The 21,914-nt window shown below is 38.7% G+C and overlaps 3 protein-coding genes across 13 annotated transcripts in view, besides 9 other annotated features; 1 reads left to right on the forward strand and 2 right to left on the reverse strand.

The window, feature by feature from the left end:
* RFX7 (regulatory factor X7) overlaps nt 1-1,758 on the reverse strand; it is a 157,803-nt gene extending 156,045 nt beyond the window's left edge. For 2 of the 4 annotated variants that reach the window (NM_001368073.2, NM_022841.7), the window contains exon 1: nt 121-555. The gene's annotated coding sequence lies outside the window, so the exon portion shown is untranslated. Of the gene's footprint in view, nt 1-120; nt 556-590; nt 762-972; nt 1,062-1,515 lie in introns of those variants that run through there. The other 2 variants (NM_001370561.1, XM_047432948.1) reach the window with 2 other exon arrangements.
* On the reverse strand, nt 27-1,494 carry LOC124903569 (laforin-like). The gene is made up of 3 exons (XM_047433428.1): nt 1,410-1,494; nt 659-855; nt 27-558 (listed from the first exon to the last, which is right to left on the reverse strand). Exons 1-3 carry the CDS (start codon nt 1,492-1,494, stop codon nt 109-111), a joined length of 732 nt encoding a protein of 243 aa, XP_047289384.1. The 3' UTR covers nt 27-108.
* Nucleotides 81-150: a silencer, noted in NCBI's record as "silent region_6461". NCBI's record gives its function as "represses an Ori minimal core promoter by ATAC-STARR-seq in GM12878 lymphoblastoid cells {active_cell/tissue: GM12878}" and the evidence as "EXISTENCE:reporter gene assay evidence [ECO:0000049][PMID:35858748]".
* Nucleotides 241-300: a silencer, noted in NCBI's record as "silent region_6462". NCBI's record gives its function as "represses an Ori minimal core promoter by ATAC-STARR-seq in GM12878 lymphoblastoid cells {active_cell/tissue: GM12878}" and the evidence as "EXISTENCE:reporter gene assay evidence [ECO:0000049][PMID:35858748]".
* Nucleotides 451-740: a silencer, noted in NCBI's record as "silent region_6463". NCBI's record gives its function as "represses an Ori minimal core promoter by ATAC-STARR-seq in GM12878 lymphoblastoid cells {active_cell/tissue: GM12878}" and the evidence as "EXISTENCE:reporter gene assay evidence [ECO:0000049][PMID:35858748]".
* Nucleotides 451-1,172: a biological region, named in NCBI's record as "H3K27ac hESC enhancer GRCh37_chr15:56536049-56536694".
* Nucleotides 527-1,172: an enhancer, noted in NCBI's record as "H3K27ac hESC enhancer chr15:56536049-56536694 (GRCh37/hg19 assembly coordinates)". NCBI's record gives its function as "activates a minimal SCP1, AML or CMV promoter by ChIP-STARR-seq in primed H9 embryonic stem cells {active_cell/tissue: H9 hESC(primed)}" and the evidence as "EXISTENCE:reporter gene assay evidence [ECO:0000049][PMID:30033119]".
* The window catches only part of TEX9 (testis expressed 9), a 216,038-nt gene continuing 194,772 nt past the window's right edge, over nt 649-21,914 (forward strand). For all 8 annotated transcript variants that reach the window (NM_001385043.1, NM_001385041.1, XM_047432470.1 and 5 more), the window contains exon 1: nt 649-954. The gene's annotated coding sequence lies outside the window, so the exon portion shown is untranslated. The remainder of the gene's footprint in view (nt 955-21,914) is intronic.
* Nucleotides 1,173-1,818: an enhancer, noted in NCBI's record as "H3K27ac-H3K4me1 hESC enhancer chr15:56536695-56537340 (GRCh37/hg19 assembly coordinates)". NCBI's record gives its function as "activates a minimal SCP1, AML or CMV promoter by ChIP-STARR-seq in primed H9 embryonic stem cells {active_cell/tissue: H9 hESC(primed)}" and the evidence as "EXISTENCE:reporter gene assay evidence [ECO:0000049][PMID:30033119]".
* Nucleotides 1,231-1,280: a silencer, noted in NCBI's record as "silent region_6464". NCBI's record gives its function as "represses an Ori minimal core promoter by ATAC-STARR-seq in GM12878 lymphoblastoid cells {active_cell/tissue: GM12878}" and the evidence as "EXISTENCE:reporter gene assay evidence [ECO:0000049][PMID:35858748]".
* Nucleotides 1,531-1,580: an enhancer, noted in NCBI's record as "active region_9450". NCBI's record gives its function as "activates an Ori minimal core promoter by ATAC-STARR-seq in GM12878 lymphoblastoid cells {active_cell/tissue: GM12878}" and the evidence as "EXISTENCE:reporter gene assay evidence [ECO:0000049][PMID:35858748]".
* Nucleotides 1,819-2,464: an enhancer, noted in NCBI's record as "H3K27ac-H3K4me1 hESC enhancer chr15:56537341-56537986 (GRCh37/hg19 assembly coordinates)". NCBI's record gives its function as "activates a minimal SCP1, AML or CMV promoter by ChIP-STARR-seq in primed H9 embryonic stem cells {active_cell/tissue: H9 hESC(primed)}" and the evidence as "EXISTENCE:reporter gene assay evidence [ECO:0000049][PMID:30033119]".

The following is a 21,914-nucleotide window of genomic DNA, read 5'->3' on the forward strand; positions in this document are numbered from 1 at the left end:
GCGCGGGGAAGGGTGAGGGAAGAGACCGGGAGGGGAGGACGAAGGGGGGAGAGGAGGAGGGGGAGGGGGAGGGGAAGAGGAGGAGGAGGAGGAAGGAAGCTGGATAAGCTAGGCCTTTACCCCAGGGCTCGAGTGAGTCGCTTTCGCCTGCCGCCTGGGGAACATCACCGGGGAGACCAGCGGCTCCTCACGGCCGGGGCGCTTCACCGCGGGAGAGGCATGGCGGCGCCCCTCAGCCCCCCGCTGGCGCCGCCGCCTCCTCCCGTCAGCGGCCGGGGCTGTGGGGGGGTGAGATGGGGGCGTTTGAAGACGAAGTGGGGGGGGCAGGCTCCCCCCAAAATCCAAGAAGAACGGTTGCTCAGGGATTTGGCGGCCAAGCCTTCCTTCCTTGTCCCCGGGGCTTTCTACTGCCGGGTCCCCGTGCTGCTGCAGCCCCAGGCACCGCTCCACGCCACTCCCCACGCCGCCGCCGCCGCCGCCGCTCGCTCCCGGCCCCGCCGCCGCCGCGGCCGCCGCTGCCCTGCCAGCCCCGGAGGCAGCCCAGTGCGCGCAGCCGCACTGCGGCCCGGCGCAGACCGCACAACACCTACCGCTCCGCCGGGGGGCGTGGACCAGGGTGTGCGGGCCGCGGGCGCGACGGGCCGGGATGGGGGCGCACGGCGCGGAGGGCGGCGCGGGCCAGCGGGCCAGGGAAGCGCGCCGCTGGGGGCCGGGAGGAGTCCGGCCCGGCTGGTGGAGAGCAGGAAAACGTGGGGGAGGTGCTGGCGAGAGAAAGAGAACTTGCGTGAGGAGGAGGAGGAGAAACCAAATTTAATAATATTTGGCGTGGAAATGGGATTTGGGCGGGGGAGGCATCTTCAAAGCAAGTAAAGAGAAATCAACATTATCCCCCTTCCCCTGCACATGCATGTGAGGATTACTTCCTCCCTGAGTAAATGAAGAGAACTGAAGCAGGTAAGACGATAAACTGACTTTTCAGAAGCCCCCAAAGAAGAACACCCGTTGGAATTAACCACCCTTTAGGTAATTCGGTCTTGAACGGAAATCGCGAGTCAGGAGCTGGGTTGAGTGCTCCTCGGTCGGGCATTCAAAGCCCTCCAAATCTGGCCCCACTTTAACTATCCAATCATAGCGGCCTCCATCCCCCTGCAAGAACTCCCGGCTCCAATCAGGGAAGTCTCCATGCCATCCTCAACGCGCAGCAGATTCATTCTTCCTTCGTGCCTTTGCTCATGCTGTTCCCCTCCACCTCCCCACCCCACCCCACCCCCTTTCCAGGAATGCCCTCCCTCCTTTATACCGCTCCCAATTCCACCCAGGCTCTAAAGCATAGCTCAAGTCGCGGCTTGTCAGGGTCCCTGCAGCCAAGGCCACTGCCTGCCTCTGAAAGAAACGCATGTAGTACTCACAACATGGAGGCTCAGGCGTCAGCCACGAGCTCCTTCCTTTGGAGCCCGTTGAACACCCGCCCTCCCCCCGCAGACTCCGCACCATTCCCCCCCTTCCCATTCATACCTAAATGATAGCTTTGCCACAAATAAGTCAGTCTCCTTTAAGAGCAGAAGAATTGGCTTTTCTAGGTGGGGCTGATCAGGGAGGCTGCGTGGATGTAGAATACAACAGCCAAGGCCTCTGGCACCAAATGGAACAGCTGTTCAGCTCACACTGACCTTTCTTTGGGCCCGTGGGTGTTATGAGCCCTTCAGCTTTAACTTTTCTGATAGAGTGTCTATCAGGTTTCTACCTGTTAGATCCTCTGGCCACTTTCCTGCTGTGTGTGGACTTTGGGCTGTGGGGCTCTGCCACCTTTTAGACTCCTAGTGGATGGTGAATCTGATTGGCTTGGGTTGCCTGGCCTTTGAGTTCTCAGTTCCCTGCCTTGGCCTGAAACCCTCTTGCTTTTGTCCACTGTGCCCTCTCTCCTGGCCCACAGACTTAAGGCCCAGACTCACACTGAATGCTTGCACGTGGTGAGGGTTGAGGGTGGGGGTGCAGGGAGGAAGAACACCTGTGTGCAAAATAAGCCGCCCCCCCGCCCCCGGGGCCTCTTGGATTACGCTGTGCTCCAACTACCCATTGCACGAGTTGCATCACACAAATGAGCCCCCTTTTCCATACTCTAAGGTCTCTATTAGCTTAGCCACTTTAGGAAACTATAGGTGGTTTACGACATTCATTTTGCATACATATCTTCATGTGGGTGTGTAAAGACAGTATTTTTGTGGACCTAATTGATAGACATGGTGTGCACTAGACAGAAGCTTTGAAGGATAAAAATAGCTAATGTTTGTTGAACACTTTGTGTGCCAGACTAGCACTTTCCATACATTATCATAGTTATTCCTCCCCAAGAGTGTATAATGTAGGTATTATTAGTCTCCCTCTGTTACAGATGAAATGGAAGCTTAGGTTAATTAACATTCTTAAAATTACCCAATTAGTAAATGCAGGAGCCAAAATTTGAGTCCTGGAAGTTTAATTCCAGAGCCTGCAAGCTATGCTGAAACTGGAATTACGCTGAAAAATCTTGAATGTAGGTATATATATACGTGTGTGTGTGTATGCCCTATATCACGTTGAGGAAAGTTGCCAAGTTCCCCAAGGTTCTAATTTTTTGCCTTGCCAAGAGAGAATGATGGCTCCAAGTTGCAACACCCTGGGAGGGGGAGATCCTTAGGAAGTGGGAGAGTCATCGAGGGGGTAACGTATCTAAGGTCTGCCAAAGGCCTTAAGAAAAGGAAGCCGAGAACCAAGACGTTTTATAAAAAGTTCGCTACCGGGTGTCACACAGGCTGGCTTCCCAAGTGCAACTTCTGAGAGTTTTTAATGGGTTCCATAAAAGAGCCAGGTCACCCCAGCAGCCACTAGAGGGCTCACGAAGCTGCAGCCGCGGGCTGCCCTCTAGCGGCGGTGCTGACCGGAGTGTGGTGGTAAACCTTTTCCGGCCTTCCAGGACCTACAGGGAGTTGAAGGAGACCAGCAATGGGAGGGGTGGCAGAGAGTATCAGACTGAGGAGACCTTATTGCCAGAGTGAGATACCCTTTCAGGGAGGAAAGGGGCAGCCCTCACTACTCACTTAACATCTGGGAGTACAGTGGGTGTTTTGTTCCAGTCTTCAGAGAAGACTGTGAATAAAATCATGACATTAAGAAATCTGATGAAGTTACCCAAAATTTTGAGTGTGGACTCAAGCCAAACCCAGGGACCCTGAATAAAGGCAGGAGTGTAGCCATGTGCTTCTCATATTATGTGGGTTCCTTTGATTGTGCAACCCTGTACTGAGGACCCTCAAGGACCCAGAATCAATGTGGCTCATTTTCTCTGAGCATCATTTTGACTCTCTGGTAAATAAGGTAAGACATTGTAGTAAGCATGACTTTTTAAGATAACACACAAGTATTACCCAACCCTGAGGAGCCTAAGTTTATTCTCTACTGGGAAAGTGTACACCAGAGGAAAATTTTGAGGAACACTGATGTAGTGGGTTAGAAAAACCTGGCCTTGGAGTCAGAAGACCTGGGAATTCAAACCCTCTGTTTCGATCTCTATAAAAATGAAAATAATGATGTACATCAGAGGGTTGCTATAAGGAAAACATGAAAAGTTATAGGTAAACCAGGGAAGTGTTGTCCACATTTAGAGAGTATCTACAAGATGGATTGTCAGCACCTCAAAGGAAATGACTATTTTATTTATCCTAGTAGTCCCAGGACATAATTCCTGACTCCTGACTATTTAATAAATATTTGTGGAATTTAGTAGTTAACTAACCCTCATTTTCCTAGCCCAATCCATTATATTGTCTTGCTCTCTTGTGTCTGTAAACCTTGTCTCCTTTATGAAACTGTAAACATTTTATACTGTCCAGACTGTAGTATATACATTTATCATGCCTGATATATAGCAGTATTGGGCACGGAAAATATGAATAAATAAGACCTGGCCCCAACTTGAAGTAGTTTACATTTTTGTGAAGTAGAGCAACATATTAACATATATAAGATGATGAGTTATAAACATATCCACTAGTGTTGTGGAGTCATAATGGAGGGAGGGATTGGTCTTGCTCAGGGTAGAAGAACTGGAGAAGGCATCATGGCTGGCATTTTAATTGGGTCTTGTTGGATGAATAGGAGTTGAGTAGGCAGAGCAACAGAGGGAAGATGATTTCAGATAAAGGGAGTAACATGAGCACTGGTGTGAAGCCATGAAAGGGTACTGTTTGCTGAAGGAATAATGCATAGCACGGTGTTGACTCTGTGATCAGATCCTAAAGTAGTATAGGCGAGGGAAAAGAAGGAGAGAGAGACAAAAACCCACTTTACAAAATGTTACTTTGCATTATAGTTAGGATCGTTCTATCAAAGGAAGGCCTGAAAGTCGGTTTCATTATTGGTACATACTGATTAAGTGCTGAAAGTATACATTTCACTTCCACAAAGTATGGTGGTTTACCAGATATGGAAAAGGTAAAGTTCTACCCTGTTCTCCTTCTTTCCCAACTTGAATATAAAAATAAAATACTCCTCTCATCCTCTTTTCCCCTGATCATTACTTCCTCTGTCTTTTTCCATTGCAAGCTTTCTCCTCTAGAAGCTGAAAGTAGAGTTTAATGACCTACATGTTATTTAAGAGAACAAGGAAAGAAGGCTTTTCACCTCTCCCAATTCTTCCTTGATAGCAGAAAGTGATGGATAATTTCTTTCAGCTAAGCTGTTGTCTTTCAAAGTGCAAGTAGTCCTAGGAGGGCTTATATATATATAAGTTTCAATGCTGTAATGTGATTGAGCTTTCTTTCAGTCTTTAATAGCATTAGAGAGAAGAGGATGTGGGAGGGAGTGAAGAGGAGAAAAATAAAAGCAGCAGCAAGATTACAGAAGAGGGAAGTTGGGGGGTTCAGAACTAAGTTAATATTGGCAAATTTTGATACATGTTCTCAATACCAAGAGTGCTAATGTAAGTATGCTGTGAAAATGTGAATTCTTCTGTTAGAGCACAAATATGTCATTATGTCATTAAAACAATGTATAGCCCAGTGTTAAGGCTAAGTAGCCTAACTATTCAAATACTGTCAAGGCAGCAGACTGTTAACACTGTCACTACCTGGCTATGTGACCCTATCTGTACAAGTCATTCTTTCAAGTACCTTTGCTTATCTCTAAGGATTAGTGGGATAAAGTTCACATAATATACTCAGCTCTTCAAGTGAGTAGTATGATGAAACAAATGCTAGATCCCGCTTTGATTTCACTTAGAAATTTTCCACTGTTGGTACCATATACATGTTTATGTTGTAACTTTCAATTCTTTTACATTAAAGAAGGTTCAAGTTAATATCATCTACATACATTTTAAAGGAAGTGTTTACTTTAACTTGGGCCAAAAAGTCCCAAGTAGAAATTTGATATCTTAGAAATTCAGGAAAGGAGTGGCTGTGAACAGAAGCAGATAAAGAAAAACACTAAATTGTGACACTAAAAGTGTTTTAGTTATTTACTTAACACTAAAAGTGACAATGAAAAGACACCAGAGCCAATCCCACAGTGAGGAAGTCAGTGCCAGTGCAGTCTGAACAGGTGGGGCCTAACCAATAATTCACAAGGTCGATCATTCCTCCATTCCTTTCAAGGCACATTCGAGAACCTGCTATGTACAAGTTACTATATTGGGACCTTAGAAAGATTAAAAAATAAGTAGTAAAATATTGTTCTCATTTTCAAGAAGCTCATAATCTAATTGGAACACTACACATGTCAGCCCATACATATTTTTAAAAGTGAAATAAAAACACAAAAAACAAACAAAAGGTGTGTGACAGGATAATTTATTGAGCTATTTATTTGGGTTTTATGCTCCTTATATTTTCCCTCCCTTCCATTCCAAGCAGGCTTCAAGGGAACTTTGTGTTACTAGGCAGAAAGTTGTCTGACAAGAGCTCTCTCTTAGGCAACTCCAGGGGGCACCATTCACATTTTAAATGAAGCCTCCTGGAACAGGACTCCTTAGAATGCAGTGTCAATGTTATTTCTGGAATTGGACCCAGCAATCTGTCTTTCAAGTTTGTTGCTCCTTGAGGAGATGTTGCTAGGGGGTTAAAAAGGTAAGCACATCTGGGGAGAGAGAGAGAGGGAGGGAGGGAGGGAAGAAAGGAGGGAGGGAGGGAAGGAAGGAAGGGGCGCTGAGACAGGTGGATCACAAGGTCAGGAATTCAAGACCAGCCTGGCGAAGATGGTGAAACCCCGTTTCTACTAAAAATACAAAAATTAGCCGGGCATGATGGCAGGTGCCTGTAATCCCAGCTACTTGGGAGGCTGAGGCTAAGGCAGAGAATTGCTTGAATCAGGGAGGTGGAGGTTGCAGTGAGTCGAGATTGTGCCACTGCACTCCAGCCTGGGCGACACAGTGAGGATCTGTCTCAAAAAAAAAAAAAAAAAAAAAAAAAAGAGGAAAGAAGAAGCATCTATGGGCAGGTGGAATTACAGAAAAAAAAATTCCCATGAGCTGTAGAAAATCAAAGATTGGGGTTCCAGTAGTAAGAATAAGAGTACCCCAGGGAGATACTCTAACCTCATATGGATGCACAATGCCATTAGGGAGGCTGGATTCCCTTGCCTCTCTTGGCCCATAAGTGGAGGAATTGCCAGTGAGGATGTCAAAGTCCATCTTCCATTTTCTAGGCTCAACATAAGTCTTTCAAACCCTACTGCAGTACTAGGAAGAGAGGAAAGCCCAGTAAGAACTGAGATTGGATTTCCTTCTACTCCAGCAGAATTAAGGCTGAGATCACTTAAGTCTGTGGTAAATTTAATTTGATTTAAAGAATAGTGACATGTCTTGCACACCCAAATTTGTACTTGCAAATTTATACTTCCTAGTGGTGGATGCTATATAAAAAAGACACTGGTAGGTGAGATATATAAGATTAAAAACCAGTGAATGGCGTAGCTAATAACTGCTAAGGAAGTTTAGAGAAAGAGCAAAAGGAGCTAAAGTTAAAAGTGGCGTGGAGGACTTGGGATGGAGCTAGAGTGTGAGTAAAATGAAGGATTTATAAAGGTGGGAGAAAGAATGGAGACAAGTCCGAAGGGAAAGGCAGTGTGAGTAGAAGCAGGAAAACGAGCATGCAAATGACAAGACACACAGAAGACTGGTCTAATTGGAGTGAACAGCTGATGATAAAGGTTATATGGGGTACCAAATTCCGAGTGTATTCAAGCTAGTCTGAGGAGTTTGTGCTTCCATACTGTGTACAAAGCGAGGTTCTACGAGAGAACAAGTAGTAGGAGATATATATTTTATATTTGTATGTTTACATATTTTAAAGGAATTGGCTTATGTGATTGTGAGGCTGGCAAGTCTGAAATCTGTAGGGAAGGCCAAAATGCCTTGCATAGTGGATGCTGCAACCCACAGGTGAAATTTCTTCTTCCTTAGGGAAAAAAAAAAACAAAATAATTCAGTTTTGCTCTTAAGACCTTTCACCTGATTGGATGAGACCCACCAAAATTATTTAGGATAATCTACTTAAGTCAACTGATTGTAGCTAATTAACCACATCTGCAAAATACGTACCTTTACAGCAACATCCAGCTTAGAGTATGATTTGAATAGCTGGGTATGTGTCAACTTGGCTAGGCCAAGGAACCATGACACTTACCACACTCTGTAAGTCACTCCTCATGTATTTGAGAAGATGTCTTTGGATTTTCTTTATGTGGATCTCAGGAAAGGTAATTTCTTATGAAGTGGGCCAACCTGTCTCCTTTCCAAGAATAGATCTACTTTCTCTGCTCTTCCCTGTACATAAATGTTTATTCCCAAGGATGAATTTCTATTTTTCTTCATCCCTTTTTCCCTTACCATCTCCTGAAGTTATGCCAGTGTTATATTGTGGCTGATGTTAGTATGTTTTTGTTTTCTCCGTTTAAAATGCCTCTAATTATGCCTGTAGTGTCATTCTCCTAATTCAGCAAAGCCTCAGGTTGTCGGCCATATCCACAGTCACCCTCCAAGCCTGGCTCTGTTGATGTAAGCTTCCATCCTTGTCTCTTGTAACCCTGGCCCCCTAGTTGGAACAGGGCTCAACATTTGACACCATGACAATCAATCTTCCGGCTAGACAGTGGCTTATGAGCTGACTCAATAAAACCTTTGCCCAAGGAAGATGTTAGTAATTAGCTAACGGATTGATTCCTTTTTTGGAGAGTATGAATATGATAAGGAGAGAAGGTTAGGCAGTTGGGAGTAAAAACAGTAGCTGAAAGATACACAAGAGAAAGCTAACCTCAGAAACCATTAGACAACAACCAGAAGAGGCAATGATTAAGCAGAAACTGTGTGAAGAGGAGCTCAGAGGGCTTAAAGAAGATAAGATAATGGCTTAGTGTTGATAGGAGCAGTAGGCCCAGGGAATGATAGAAGCTGAGTAAATTTCCTCATGGAGCACCAGAGAAAGCAGGTGCAAATGAAGAGGAATGGATTATTGGCCAGGCCTTGGGGAAATTCAGGATAACCACCCAGAAATCCAGGAACAGACATACAAGCGACGGCATAGAAACTTAAGGGGAGCTGGGGAGTGAAAAGTTTGTTTAGGCTCCAGTGCAGCTCTAGCAACTGAATTATCTTCTCAGACACTCAGGAGAAGACTTTCATTACTTCCTTAGTTTAGTGTGATTTTCTCCTCCCCCAGAGAGTCTTACACATAAAGTTATGGTGTGAAGGGCTCACTCTTTTGTCAAGAATTGCATCCTCTCAGCAGTTTTCCCTTATCCATTCCCTACCCACTCCCAGCCAGTTTGTGTTAGCTGTCTCTTTTCTGTGGCTCTGTGGTACCTTGTACAGCCTTATGTCATACTATCTCATTGTAGGCTAATTGTAGGTTTGTTTGCCTATTTCTTGCATCTACACTCCCTCTACCTGACTTCCAGTACTACAAACTATATTTGGTCAGGAAGTATGTTTTTAATCTTCTCTATATCTCCAACATATACTATAGTCACTCCCACAAAGTAGCCAAACAATGAATGTTTGTTGAATTGAGCTATTAGAAAAACCTTTTTTTTTTTTTTTTGTCCAGGCCACAAAATAAAAGCAGAATGTCAGAAAAAGCAGAATGGGCTAATAAGAAAGCTCAATATCTTATTCATAATAATGGTGTAGGAGCTGAGAACATAGTTAATTTGTACTTAAAATTCATGTCTCCATGACTTTACAAAAATTTTTCAAGCAGCCAACTGTGTCTGTTCAGCCTGACATCTGGTGCTACAATTCTCCAGATTTAAAGGTACTCTGGCCAGCTTTGTTCCTTTTAAGGAAAAGAGTCTGCTGCGTGCTTCCTGTAACCTCTAGTTTCTTATCTGAATTCAGATCCACACTCTTGGGCAGATGAGGCTTGAGGCTGACCCTCATGGAGATCCCCCGGGCTTCCAAATTTAGAGTCTAGGATCCAAATCTCAGCTCTACCACTTGCCATTTTTGTGATCTCAGGCAAGTTCTTTGCTTCTCTGAGCCTCAGTTTTCCAATTGGTAAAAGTGGGGATAATAACTCCTTCACTCAGTTGTACTGATAATTTAATGAAAAATATTTCTGAAAATACTCCACACAATGCTTTACACATAGTAAAAGCCAAATAAATTATGAATTTCCCTTCCTTTTTTTCTGGAAGGTAGAGAGGAGAAGGGAAGGAATAGATTGATGGCAGGGGATAAGGGCCCTAAAAATGACAGGAGTCCTGAAAACCAAAAGTGGTGGCAGCCTAGTTTTTACATGCCACTACTTTATAGTCTGATAAAGCACAGGTCATGATCACTAAAAGCCACACGGCACCTAAGATAGCTGCTGCAAGAAATTCCTTGATCAGAGCACAGAAGGACATTCAAACTCTGCGTGTTTGAAATGCACAAAGCAGATAGGGAAAGAGGCACCATTGGATGGCAAGAAGAAAAAATTTTGCCTACACCAAGCAAAAAAACCCCAAAAATCATAAAACAAGGAGAGGTTCAACACATGCTATGTCAGAGAGTCCTGGGAGTGTACAGAGGTGTCTGACTTTAACCCCCTCCAAATATCAACCCCAGAACTGAAAAAGGAGAAAGAACGGAAGGTCTTCATAATCAGTTGGAAAATCTTACACAATATTTATAGGAACTTTAAACACGTATCCCTTCTGAGGTCCCTAAAGAAAGCCAAATGACACTAGCTATTCAGGGACTCAAAACCCCAAATAATATTAGAGATGAGGGTCTGTGCTTTCTAGCTACTCTCAGAAGGGTTCTCTTAGTGAGTATTAAAGCTGTTAAAGTTAGCTCTTGATGTACTCTGAACAGGCTACTCAGCAGTCAGGAATTGAGGTATGGCAGGGAGGGAGTAGAATTCCATAACAGGATGAGCTTGTTAGCCAAATCTGACTGAAAATGTCACTTATCGCTGCCCAATGTATAAGGTGGAAAAAGTGGCTAAAAATTACAGCTCTTCACAATCAGTGTCTCCCACTCCCATGAAAGAACATTAAAAAAAAATGGAATAGACTACCCAATGTGTTGTTAAAGGCAAGTGACTTGAGACTTGCCCCTCAGAGAATTGTTGGAATAGGGCTTCACTTTTCTCTCTGTGTCAAAGAAACTTTGAGTATCTTTTTAAATGTTTTGAAATAAAAATGGCAAGAACATAGGTTATCACCCACAAATTACATTTAATGGTGTTTTGAAAGAGTTAATTCAAAAATCCTGTGTATGAAGAGTAAATCAAGATGCCAGCCTGCAGGAAAGTTACCTCTACCAAATCTTATGAAATGACAGAAAAGATTAAAGGGGGTGAGGTTAATTGGTAACAGGACAGGGGACAAGAAAAATGCCGTAAGTGTATGAGAAATTTTCAGGAGATGGGATCAGACTTTAGAAAAACATACTAGAGCAACTGTGCCGTACATTTGGCTCTAGATTGCTGAGGAGGTAGGATAAATTTCAGGGATGCTACAAGCTCAGAGAGAACAGGTTCTATGAATAGGACATCCTAGGGTAATGGCCAGAGTGATTAACTGAAACACTGCATTTGGAGCAGCTGGACTGCTACTCACATTCCCTTCTTTTGCTTGTAATTGTCCACAGATTAAGTAGTGAGCCTGTGGATTCTGAGAGCCAACAGACAGAAGAGTAGCAGTGGACCCCAGGAGGCACAGGGAGGCTCCTCACTCTGAAAAGAAACACTCTCCCCAGCAATATGCCCTTCCCTTCACCTATAATCACAAGTTGACCCACATCAAGCAGAAGGAGAGAGCTAACAGGGATTCTTATTTATAAAGTAAAAGAATAATCCAATACAAGAATAATACAAGTTTGCAGAGACACCAAACTCAGAAAAAATAATACCTAACGAAAGAGAGTTTATAAATTTAAAAAAGATGAATACAAATTCTTTTTATAAATTTTATAATTTTAAGAAAATATAATTATTGTATATAAAATATATACTTATAAATATCACAAATATAACAATTATCCTCAAAGAGGTTCAAGATATTACATCCATGAAAATGAAACAATGATCCCAGAAATTTAAAAACATGATTTTTGAAATAAACTCAGGACATATGTATCACCAATAGAATCTCTTTGAAAGGATGACTATAGGATAAATTTTAACAAAATAAATGATGAATCCAAGAAAGATGAAGGTGAAGCATTCAAGAATCAGTGGAGAGAAAAGAGATGATTTGTCTAAATATGACATATATTTAAAATTAATAGCATAAAATTAAAATCTAGATTAGACGTTGGCAAATGTTTTCTGTAAAAGACCAGATAGTAAATATTTTCAGTTTTGTGTTCCATATAGACTCTGTTGCAACCACTCAGCTCTGCTGTTGTAGTGTGAAAACAGTCATAGATAATATGTAAATGAATGTGCGATAAGACTTTACAAAAGCAGGGGGCAGGTGAACCCCTGTTCTAGATGATTGCAACATAAAGATGGCAGGGACAAAGCATGATGGAGAGATAGGAGGTAAGTTCTAAAAGCTGTATGTTTTATAACTTTTATATAGCTGTGTGTATATGATAAACACATACACACACATATGGAACACCAGATGGCAGAAAAAAAGTCAAGCCATCAGTGATTCCAGTACATGACACATGGACAGAATTTCTTTAATAAAAAAATCTCAAATTTAGAAAAAGACACCTAAAAAGAAGGTTGGAAATAAAAACGTAGAAAGATACATCAGGCAAGTTCTAATAAGGATAACAAATATAGTAACAATGTTAGACAAAAAAGAATAATGCGAAAAGGGTTTGACAAGATAAAAAATGTTCATATTAGTGAAAAATAGAATTCTGTAAGAAGCTCTACTAATACTGAACCTTTATAAATCTAAGAATATAACATCAAATGTCATCTTTATAACCTATAAAGTGAAAATGATAGAAATATAAGTAGGAATGAAAAATACAGAGCCATTTTAGAAGACTTTAACACACATCTCAAATTGATAGATCAAGTAGGAAAAAAGTAAGGATAGAGAGGATTAGAATAACAAAGAAGCTTGATCGAATAAAGGACTTTGTATGAATAAACAGTGAATGCATAGTCTCCTCAAACACACATGAAACATTAACTAGCTGCTAAAACACAAAGAAAATGTTAAATTTCAAGATAAATCATTCAGGTTACATTTTTTATACTGAAATAAAAGTTGTAATTAATAAGCAAATTGTTTATAAACTTGGAAATAAAAACCACTCCTTTAATACAAAAAAATTTAAAATGAAATTATAAATTATTTACAAATGATAATATGTTAAAATTATTGAACATTGTTATACAACCAGCATTATGCTAAGTGATCTACATGGATTATCTTTTTATTTTCACAGTAATCTTGGGAAGTTGATTCCATTATCATCTCATGTCACAGATGAGGAACTGAAGCACAAAGCTGTACTAAATAACCCGGCCAAGGGCACACAATCCATAAATGACAGTGTTGGGATATGAACCTAGATAGCATGATTCAGAGCTAGTGTATTTAACTGCAACAATAAGAATGACAGTGAAAACAATACAAATCAAAATCTACATATACTCAGAGAAAATGCAGCCAGGTATGCGTGTTTTAAAAATAAGAAAAGATTGGCTAGAAATAAATCATGTATAAAGCTTAAAAAGCTAGTGAAAAAAATACATAAAGTAGAAGCAAGGGTATTACTAAAGGAAAAAAACATGAATAAAATGTTGGGGGTTGGGGTGGGATAAATTTGTATAAAACTAAGAGATGATTTTTTGAAAAGAACCAAAAATGTCAAAAGTCTGGAATGTCTCACCAAGGTTAAAAAAAGAGAGAGTTATCAGCATTAGAAATTAGAAGGGGATATAATTATAGGTATGAAATAGATTTTGAAAAGTTTGAGGTGAATACTGAATTTAAGCTAATTTTTACTTATTTATTTATTTGTTTCTTAAAAGTTTTAAGTTTAGGGGTACATGCGCAAGATATACACGTTTGTTACATAGGTAAATGTGTGTCATGGGGGTTTGTTGTACAGATTATTTCATCACCAAGGTATGAAGCCTAGTAGTTCATTACTTATTTTTTTTTGATCCTCTCCCTCCTCCCACCCTCTGCTCTCCCATAGGCCCCAGTGTGTTCTATTCCCCTCTATGTGTCCATGTGTTCTCATCATTTAGCTCCCACTTATAAGTGAGAACATGCAGTATTTGGTTTTCTGTTCCTGCGTTAGTTTGCTAAGGATAATGGCCTCCAGCTCCATCCATGTCCCAGCAAAGGACATGATCTCATTCTTTTTGTTGGTTACACAGTATTCCATGGTGTATATGTACTACATTTTCTTTACCCAGTCTATCATTGATGGGCATCTAGTTGATTCCAGGTGTTTGCTATTGTGAACAGTGCTCCAATGAACATACATGTGCATATGCTTTTATAATACAACAATTTGTTAATATATTCCTTTGGGTATATACCCAGGAATGAAATTGTTGGGCTGAATGTTATTTCTGTCTCTAAGTCTTTGAGGAATCACCACACTGTCTTCCACAATGGTTGAACTCATTTATACTCCCACCAACAGTGTAAAAGTGTTCTTTTTTCTCCACAACCTCACCAGCATCTGTTATTTTTTGACATTTTAATAACAACTGTTCTGACTAGTGTGAGATGGTATCTCATTGTGGTTTTGATTTGCATCTCTTATGATCAGTGATGTTGAGCTTTTTTTATATGTTTGTTGGCTGCATGTATGTCTTCTTTTGAGAAGTGTCTGTTTGTTTATGTCCTTTGCCCACTTTTTAATCGGGTTGTTTTTTCTTGTAAGTTTGTTTAAGTTCCTTGTAGATGTTGGATATTAGATCTTTGTTAGATGCATAGAATGCAAAATTTTCTCCCATTCTGCCGGTTTTCTGTTTACTCTGTCGATAGTTTCTTTTGCTGTGCAGAGGCTCTTTAGTTTAATTAGATCCCATTTGTCAATTTTTGCTTTTGTTGCAATTGCTTTTGGCATCTTGATCATGAAATCTTTGCCTATGCCTATGTCCTGATTGGTATTGCCTAGGTTTTCTTCTAGGGTTTTTATAGTTTTAGGTTTTACATTGAAGTCTTTAATCCATCTTGAGTTGATTTTTGTATATGGTATAAGGAAGTGTCCACTTTCAGTTTTCTTCATATGGCTAGCCTGTTCTCCCAGCACCACATATTAAATAGGGAATGCTTTCCCCATTGCTTGTTTTTGTCAGGTTTGTCAAAGATCAGATGGTTGTAAGTGTGTGATCTTATTTCTGGGTGTTCTACTCTGTTCCACTGGTCTATGTGTCTGTTCTTGTACTGGTACCATGCTGTTTTAGTTACTGTAGCCCTGTAGTATAGTTTGAAGTTGGGTAGCATGATGCCCCTAGCTTTGTTCTTTTTGCCTAGTATTGCCTTAGCTCTTCAGGCTCTATTTTGGTTCCATATGAATTTTAAAATTGTGTTTTCTAGTTCTGTGAAGAAGTCGATGGTAGTTTAATGGGAGTAGCGTAGAATCTATAAATTGCTTTGGTCAGTATGGCCATTTTCACAATATTGATTCTTCCAATCCATGAGCATGGAATGTTTTTCCATTTGTTTGTGTCATCTCTGATTTCTTTGAGCAGTGATTTGTAGTTATCCTGAAGAGGTCCTTCACTTTCCTTGTTAGCTGTATTCCTAGGTTTTTTATTCTTTTGTAGCAATTGTGAATGGAAGTTCACTCATGATTTGGCTCTTGGCTTGCCTGTTTTTGGTGTTTAGGAATGCTAGCGATTTTTGCACATTGATTTTTGTGTCACTCTTTTTCCTTTCCTCCATTTTGTTGGGGATGTACTAATATCTGAGTATGGTTTATTCTTATTTAGATTTCTCTGATTACTAATTATATGGAACATCTTTTCATGTGCTTATATTCATATTGATAGTCTCTTTTGTAAAATGCTTGCTCAAGTTTTTGCTCATTTTGTTTATTGATTTGCCTTTTTCTTATTGATTTGTAGACATTCTTTAGATATTGTAGATATGTTATTTGTTGGATATATATGAATATATATGTGTATATATATACATATATAAACACCTATATGTATATATAAAACATATATAATACATATATATATGCATATATAGCAAATATCTTCTACTAAACTATGTCTTGCTGTTTCATCCTCTTAATGATGCCTTTCAATAAACATAACCTCAGAACTTGAATTAATCCATCTTTTATGTTTTATGTTTTTGGGGAATCTTATTTAAGAAATCACTGCCTACCCAATGTCATGAAATATTCCGTTATCTTCTAGAGCAGGGGTCAGAAATTTATGGCCCATGTGACCTGCCATTTGTTTTTGTAAATAAATTTTTGTTGGAAGACAGCCATTCTCATTCATTCATTTATGTATTGTCTATGGCTGCCTTTGGACTACAACAGCAGAGTTAAGTAGTTGCAACAAAGACTGTATGACCTACAAAGCTGAAAATATTTACTATCTGTCCCTTTACAGAAAAAATTTATTGATTTCTCTTCTTGGATATTACTGTTTTTCTTTCACATGAAGGTTTATAATTTAATCAGCATTAATTTTTGTAGATAGTGTAAATTAAGGTTAAAGTCTGTTTCATGTGAATTATTTAATTGCTCCAGCATCATTTATTGAAAAAAAATCTTATTATTACAAAATTGCAGTGGCATCATTGTTGTACATCAAGTATATATATGAGCCTATTTCTAGATGCTCCCTTTTGGTATACGTATCTATTATTATACTAATACCACACTGCATTAAATATTGTAGCTTTATGGTAAGTTATGCTATCTGATATGGTAAATCTTCCAACAATTTATTCTTCTTCATTTCTTGGCTGCTATAGGTCATTTGCATTTCCATATAACTTTTTGAAATCTCTAATACATTTCCACAAAAATTCTGTTAGGATCTTGACTGGGATTGCATTGAATCAATAAAATAACTTTTGAAGAATAGCTTTTAAATTATAAAATTAATTTATGATATGAAGTCTCCAAATCCATGAACATGGTATATCTATTCATCTAGTTAGATCTTATGTAATTTTTCTTTGAAATGTTTTGCCGTTTTCACTTTAGTGATCTTACATGTCTTTTATAAAATTTATTCCCAGATATTTGAGGTTTTCCAATGATATTGTTAATAGTATTGTTTAAAATTTTTTATTTACCAATTGTTTTTGCAAACACATACAAATACAATAGATTTTTATGTATTGATTTTGTATTCAGTGACTTATCTAAATTCATTAATTCTAATTGTGTATATATTATTTTGGGTTTTTCTATATTTACAATCATGTCATCTGAAATGACACTTTTACTTCCTTCTTTCCAACCTCACAGCTCTTCTTTCATGCCTTGTGGCACTGACTAGGACCTGCAGTGCAATGATTAATGCAAGTAATGAAAATAAATATATTTGAGTGGTTTCTGAATTCAGGAAGAAAGCATTCCATATTTCACCACTAAATATGTTAGCAGCAGGCCTTTTGTACATAAACTTTATCATATTAAAAAGTTCGCTTATATTTCAAATTTGCTGAGAAGTTTTATTATGAACTAGTGGTTAATTGGAGGCCTTTTTGCATCTATTGAGGTGATCAGTGATTTTTACTTTCATTATTATTTTATTATTTACATAAAAAAAGCAAATATAATTTAGTGAAGTAAGTTATATTGATTAACTTTTTAAACCAATTTTTTATTCCTAGAATAAACCAAATTGGTTATGATATGTTATCCTTTTTACATATTCTTTGGATTTGATTATTTAATACTTTGTTCTAATTTTTGTCCCTATGTTCGTAAGAATTATTAGCTTGTAACTTTCTTGTATTATAATATCTTTGTCATATTTTTGTGTTAGGGTTGTTCTAGCCTCAAAAAAATGAATTAGGAGGAAGCGTTTTTTCTTTCTTTCCTGAAAGAGGTTATGTAGGATTGATATATTTTTCTTAAATGTTTTGGAGAATTCACCACTAAATATATCGAAGCTCAAATTTTCTTTGAGGGTAAGTTTTAAATTGTAGATAGAATATATTTAACAATGATTTTTATTTCTTTTAATTTTTCTTTTATCAGTTTAGATGACGTGATTTTATATAAATTATTCATTTTATATAGATTGTCAAATGTATTTATATAAAATTATTCAAAATATTTCTGATTTATCTTTTTAGTTTTGTAGGATCTGTAGGGATATTGCCCTTTGATTCTGATATTAGTAATTTATACTTTTGCTCTTGATTGGTCTTGCTAAGAGTTTATCAAATCTATTGATATTCTTTTTTTAAAAAAAGCTTTGGCTTTGTTGATTTTTCTCAATTTTATGTCAGCTATTTCATCAATTATTGTTTTCATTTTTATTAATTTCCCTCTATTTTCTGTTCTTTTTCTAACTTCTTGAGATGGTAACTTAGAAATTAATTTTTGATTTTTTTTCTTTTCTGATATAGGCATGTAAAGTCAACTTTCTTCTAATCATTGTGAATTAAAAAAATCCAATCAGAGAGAACCCACACAGTAATTTTAACCAAAAAATAATAATATAATAATTATTAGGCCAGGCGCAGTGGCTCATGCCTGTAATCCTAGCACTTTGAGAGGTCAAGGCAGGTGGATCACTTGAGGTCAGGAGTTCGAGACCAGCCTGACCAACATGGCGAAACCTCATCTCTACTAAAAATACAAAAATTAGCCAGGCGCAGTAGCATGTGCCTGTAGTCCCGCTATTCGGGAAGCTGAGGCATGGGAATCACTTGAACCTGGGAAGGGGAGGTTGCAGTGAGCTAAGCTAACGCCATTGCACTCCAGCCTGGGCAATAGAGCGAGAGACTGTCTCAAAAAAAAAAAATTATTAACTGTACCAGGTCATTGAAGTAATGAGAGACTGGCTAGCAAGAAGAGGATCCCAAAGGATATAGGAATAGTAGATGTAGGTTACAGCCTCTTCCCTTGGAGCTGAGATAGCCGACCCAAGGAATATGCCACCCAGGCCTAAGATCAACACCCTGTTGTAGAGGGCACTGCTGTGGCTCACTGGATGCCAGAGAAGTTGCCATGGTGCTGTACTGACGAAATGTACTGGAATTCCACCTTCTGGGGTGCCAGTGAAAGGCATTCATGGGGAGATGTCTCAGTGGAGTCATTCTGCTACACAACTGCCTGCTGGTTGCTGGGTGTGGCTGGCCACTGTGAACTACAGAAACTTGGTACTAGGGAAAACTATGCATCCTGGAGAAGCAAGCACACGAGAACCAGGAAGCAAAAAATGTTTTCCTCCTGCAGTATATTTCTAGTGCCCTGTAATGACAAAGTTCCAGCTGGCAAGAACAAATATTTAAAGGGCCAAAACGCATTTTCACACAACAGGCAAATGAGGAATTGGAGCAGAGAGGCAATAATTCAGTAACCAGCACACACTGCTTTAGCTACACCACATAAATTTTGATGAGTCGCATTTTCATTTTCATTATCTTGAGTACTGGTTTATTTAGAAAAGCTTTGTTTTATTTCCAGACATTTTCAGATCTTCTAGTCATGTTTCTATTAGTTGGTTTTCAGGCTAATTCCACCATGGTCTGAGAACATATCCTATGTGATTTCAATACTTTTGAAGCTTGTTCAGGCTTGTTTTATGCATAGCATATAGCCTATTTTGACAAACATTTTATATGTGCTTGAAAAGAACTGTATTTTACAGTGGTTAGGTGTAGTGTCATATCGATATATCAAGTAGGTCAAATTGGTTAATCATTTTGTTCAAATATTCTATATAATTTCTAATTTTCGTTATCTAATTATCCTCTTGCATCTAACACACCAGAGATAGGTATAACACTGATTAAGATTTTGTCTGTTTTTCCTTTACTTCTACTAATGTTTGCTTATATTACTTGATACTAGGTTACTATGGACATAAAAATTTAGGATTGTTGTGTTTTCCTGTTGAATTGATCCCTCGATCTTTATAAAATGCCATCCTTTATCTCTAGTACACTTCTGGCCTTAAAGTTTACTTTGTCTGATATTAATATAACCACAAACTTTCTTTAGGTTGCTGTTTGCATGATAATATCTTTACCATTCTTTTGCTTTCACTCAGTCTCTGTACTTACATTTAAAGAATAACAACACACGTGGCTGTTTTTTTTGTTTTTGTTTTTTGAGACGGAGTTTTGGTTTGTTGCCCAGGCTGGAGTGCAGTGGTACGATCATGGCTCACTGCAACCTCTGCCTCCCGAGTTCAAGCGATTCTCCTGCCTCAGCCTCCCGAGTAGCTGGGATTACAGTCATTTGCCACCATGCCCGGCTAATTTTGTATTTTTAGTAGAGACAGGGTTTCTCTATGTTGGTCAGGCTGGTCTCGAACTGCAGACCTTAGGTGATCCACCTGCCTTGGCCTCCCAAAGTTCTGGGATTACAGGCGTGAGCCACCGTGCCTGGCCACGGGTTGTTTTTTTAAAATACAGTCTGAAAATCTTTGCCTTTTCACTGGTGTGCTTAGTCCGTTCATACTTCATGTAATTACTTATGTAATTGACTTTACGTTTGCCATTTTGTTTCTGTTTTTAAATTATTTCTCTCATCTGTTCTTTTTCCTTTCCTAATTTTCTTGGGGTTAATTATATTTTTATTTGATGTTTCTTTCTTTATTCGTTGTTCTTTAATTCAGGTTTATTGAGGTACAACTTCCATACAGTAAAGTTCACCATTCTTACTAGATAGTTCTATGAGTTTTGAGAAATGCATAGTTATGTAACTACCACCGCAATCAAGGTATAGAGCAGTTCCATCATTCCCCCAAATTTGTTTGTGCCCTTTTGAAATCAGCCCTTCCCCATATCCTCAGATCCTGACAACTACTGACCTCTTTTCTATCCCTCTAGTTTTACCTTTATAAAATATCATATAAGTGGAACGATATAATATGAAGCATTTTGTGTTTGGCTTCTTTTATGTAGAATTATACATCTCAGTTCATTTATGTTATTGTTTCTGCCATTTGTTTTTTATTAATGAGTACTGTATCACTGCATGGATATACCAATTTGTCTATCCATTCACCAGGTGAAAGACATTTTTGGGGTTATTTCCACTTTTTGGCAACTATGAATAATACATTTGGCTTGTTACCAGTCTTTGGTGACTTTGGAAAAAGTTGCTATAAACATTCCCATATAGGTTTTAATGTGAACCCATTTTCCTTTTTCTTGTGTAAATACCTAGGAGTTGAGTTGCTGTGCCATGTAAGTATACATTTAAATTAAGAAACTGAAAACTCATTTCCAAAATAGTCGCACCGTTTTTGAATTCCCAGCAATAATGAATAAGGATTCCAATTTGTGCCACATCTTCATCAGCCTTTGGTATTGTCAAGTTTTTTGTTTGCCATTCTAATAGGTGTGTGGTGGAATTTCATTGTGGTTTTAATTTGTATTTCCCCAAGCACTACTAATGTAGAACACCTTTTTATGTCCCTATATGTCATCCACATGCCTTATTTTCATACAGTATCTGCTCAAATCTTTCACAAAGTTTTTTCCCTGGGTTGTTTGATTTCTTCATATTGAGTTTTTAGAATGTTCTATGTATTGGAATAGGAGACCTTTAAATGATAAGAGTTTTTCAGATATTTTTCTCTCAGTCTGTTGCTTGTCTTTAATTTTCTTACATGGTCTTTTGAAGAGCTGAAGTTTAAAAGTTTTCAAATATTTTGATGGACAAGTATTTATCAGTTTTTGCTTTTATGGTTCACAGTCCACAAAAATTATTGACTAAGTAATCTCTGAGACATGTGTGACCTAATGTCACAAAGACTTTATCCTACATTATACTGCAGTAGTTTTATAGATTCAATATTTCATTTATATTTGTCATCCATTTTGACTTAATTTTTTGTGTATGTTCTGAGGCATGTGTTGAGATTTTGTTTTCTTTTTCCAACAGATGTCCTTTTCCACACTATGTTTTAGAAAGATAATCAGTCTTTTCTCTATGGAATTGCCTTTGCAATTCTGTTAAAAATCAGCTGGTTATATGTACAAGGGTCTGTATTTGGACTGTTTGGTTCCACTGTTGTTTATGTCTGTCCTTTCACCAATATCACCCTCTGTCTTGGTTACTTGATTATAGTAAATCTTGAAATCTTGTAGTAAGTCCTCCAATTTTGTTCTTCTTTTCAGTTTTTTGTGTACTAGCTCTTTCACTTTTCCTTAAAAATTTTCTGCTTTCTTGAGATAAAAGCTCAGATCATTGATTTGAGAACTTTCTGATTTCCTTTTCTTTCTTTTTTTTTTTTTTTTAACAGGGTCTCACTGTGGAGTGTAGTGGTACCAGCATGGAGTGTAGTGGTACCATAGCT

The sequence above is a fragment of the Homo sapiens genome, chromosome 15 (assembly GCF_000001405.40).
Source record: "Homo sapiens chromosome 15, GRCh38.p14 Primary Assembly".
In the NCBI taxonomy this organism is placed as follows: domain Eukaryota; kingdom Metazoa; phylum Chordata; class Mammalia; order Primates; family Hominidae; genus Homo; species Homo sapiens.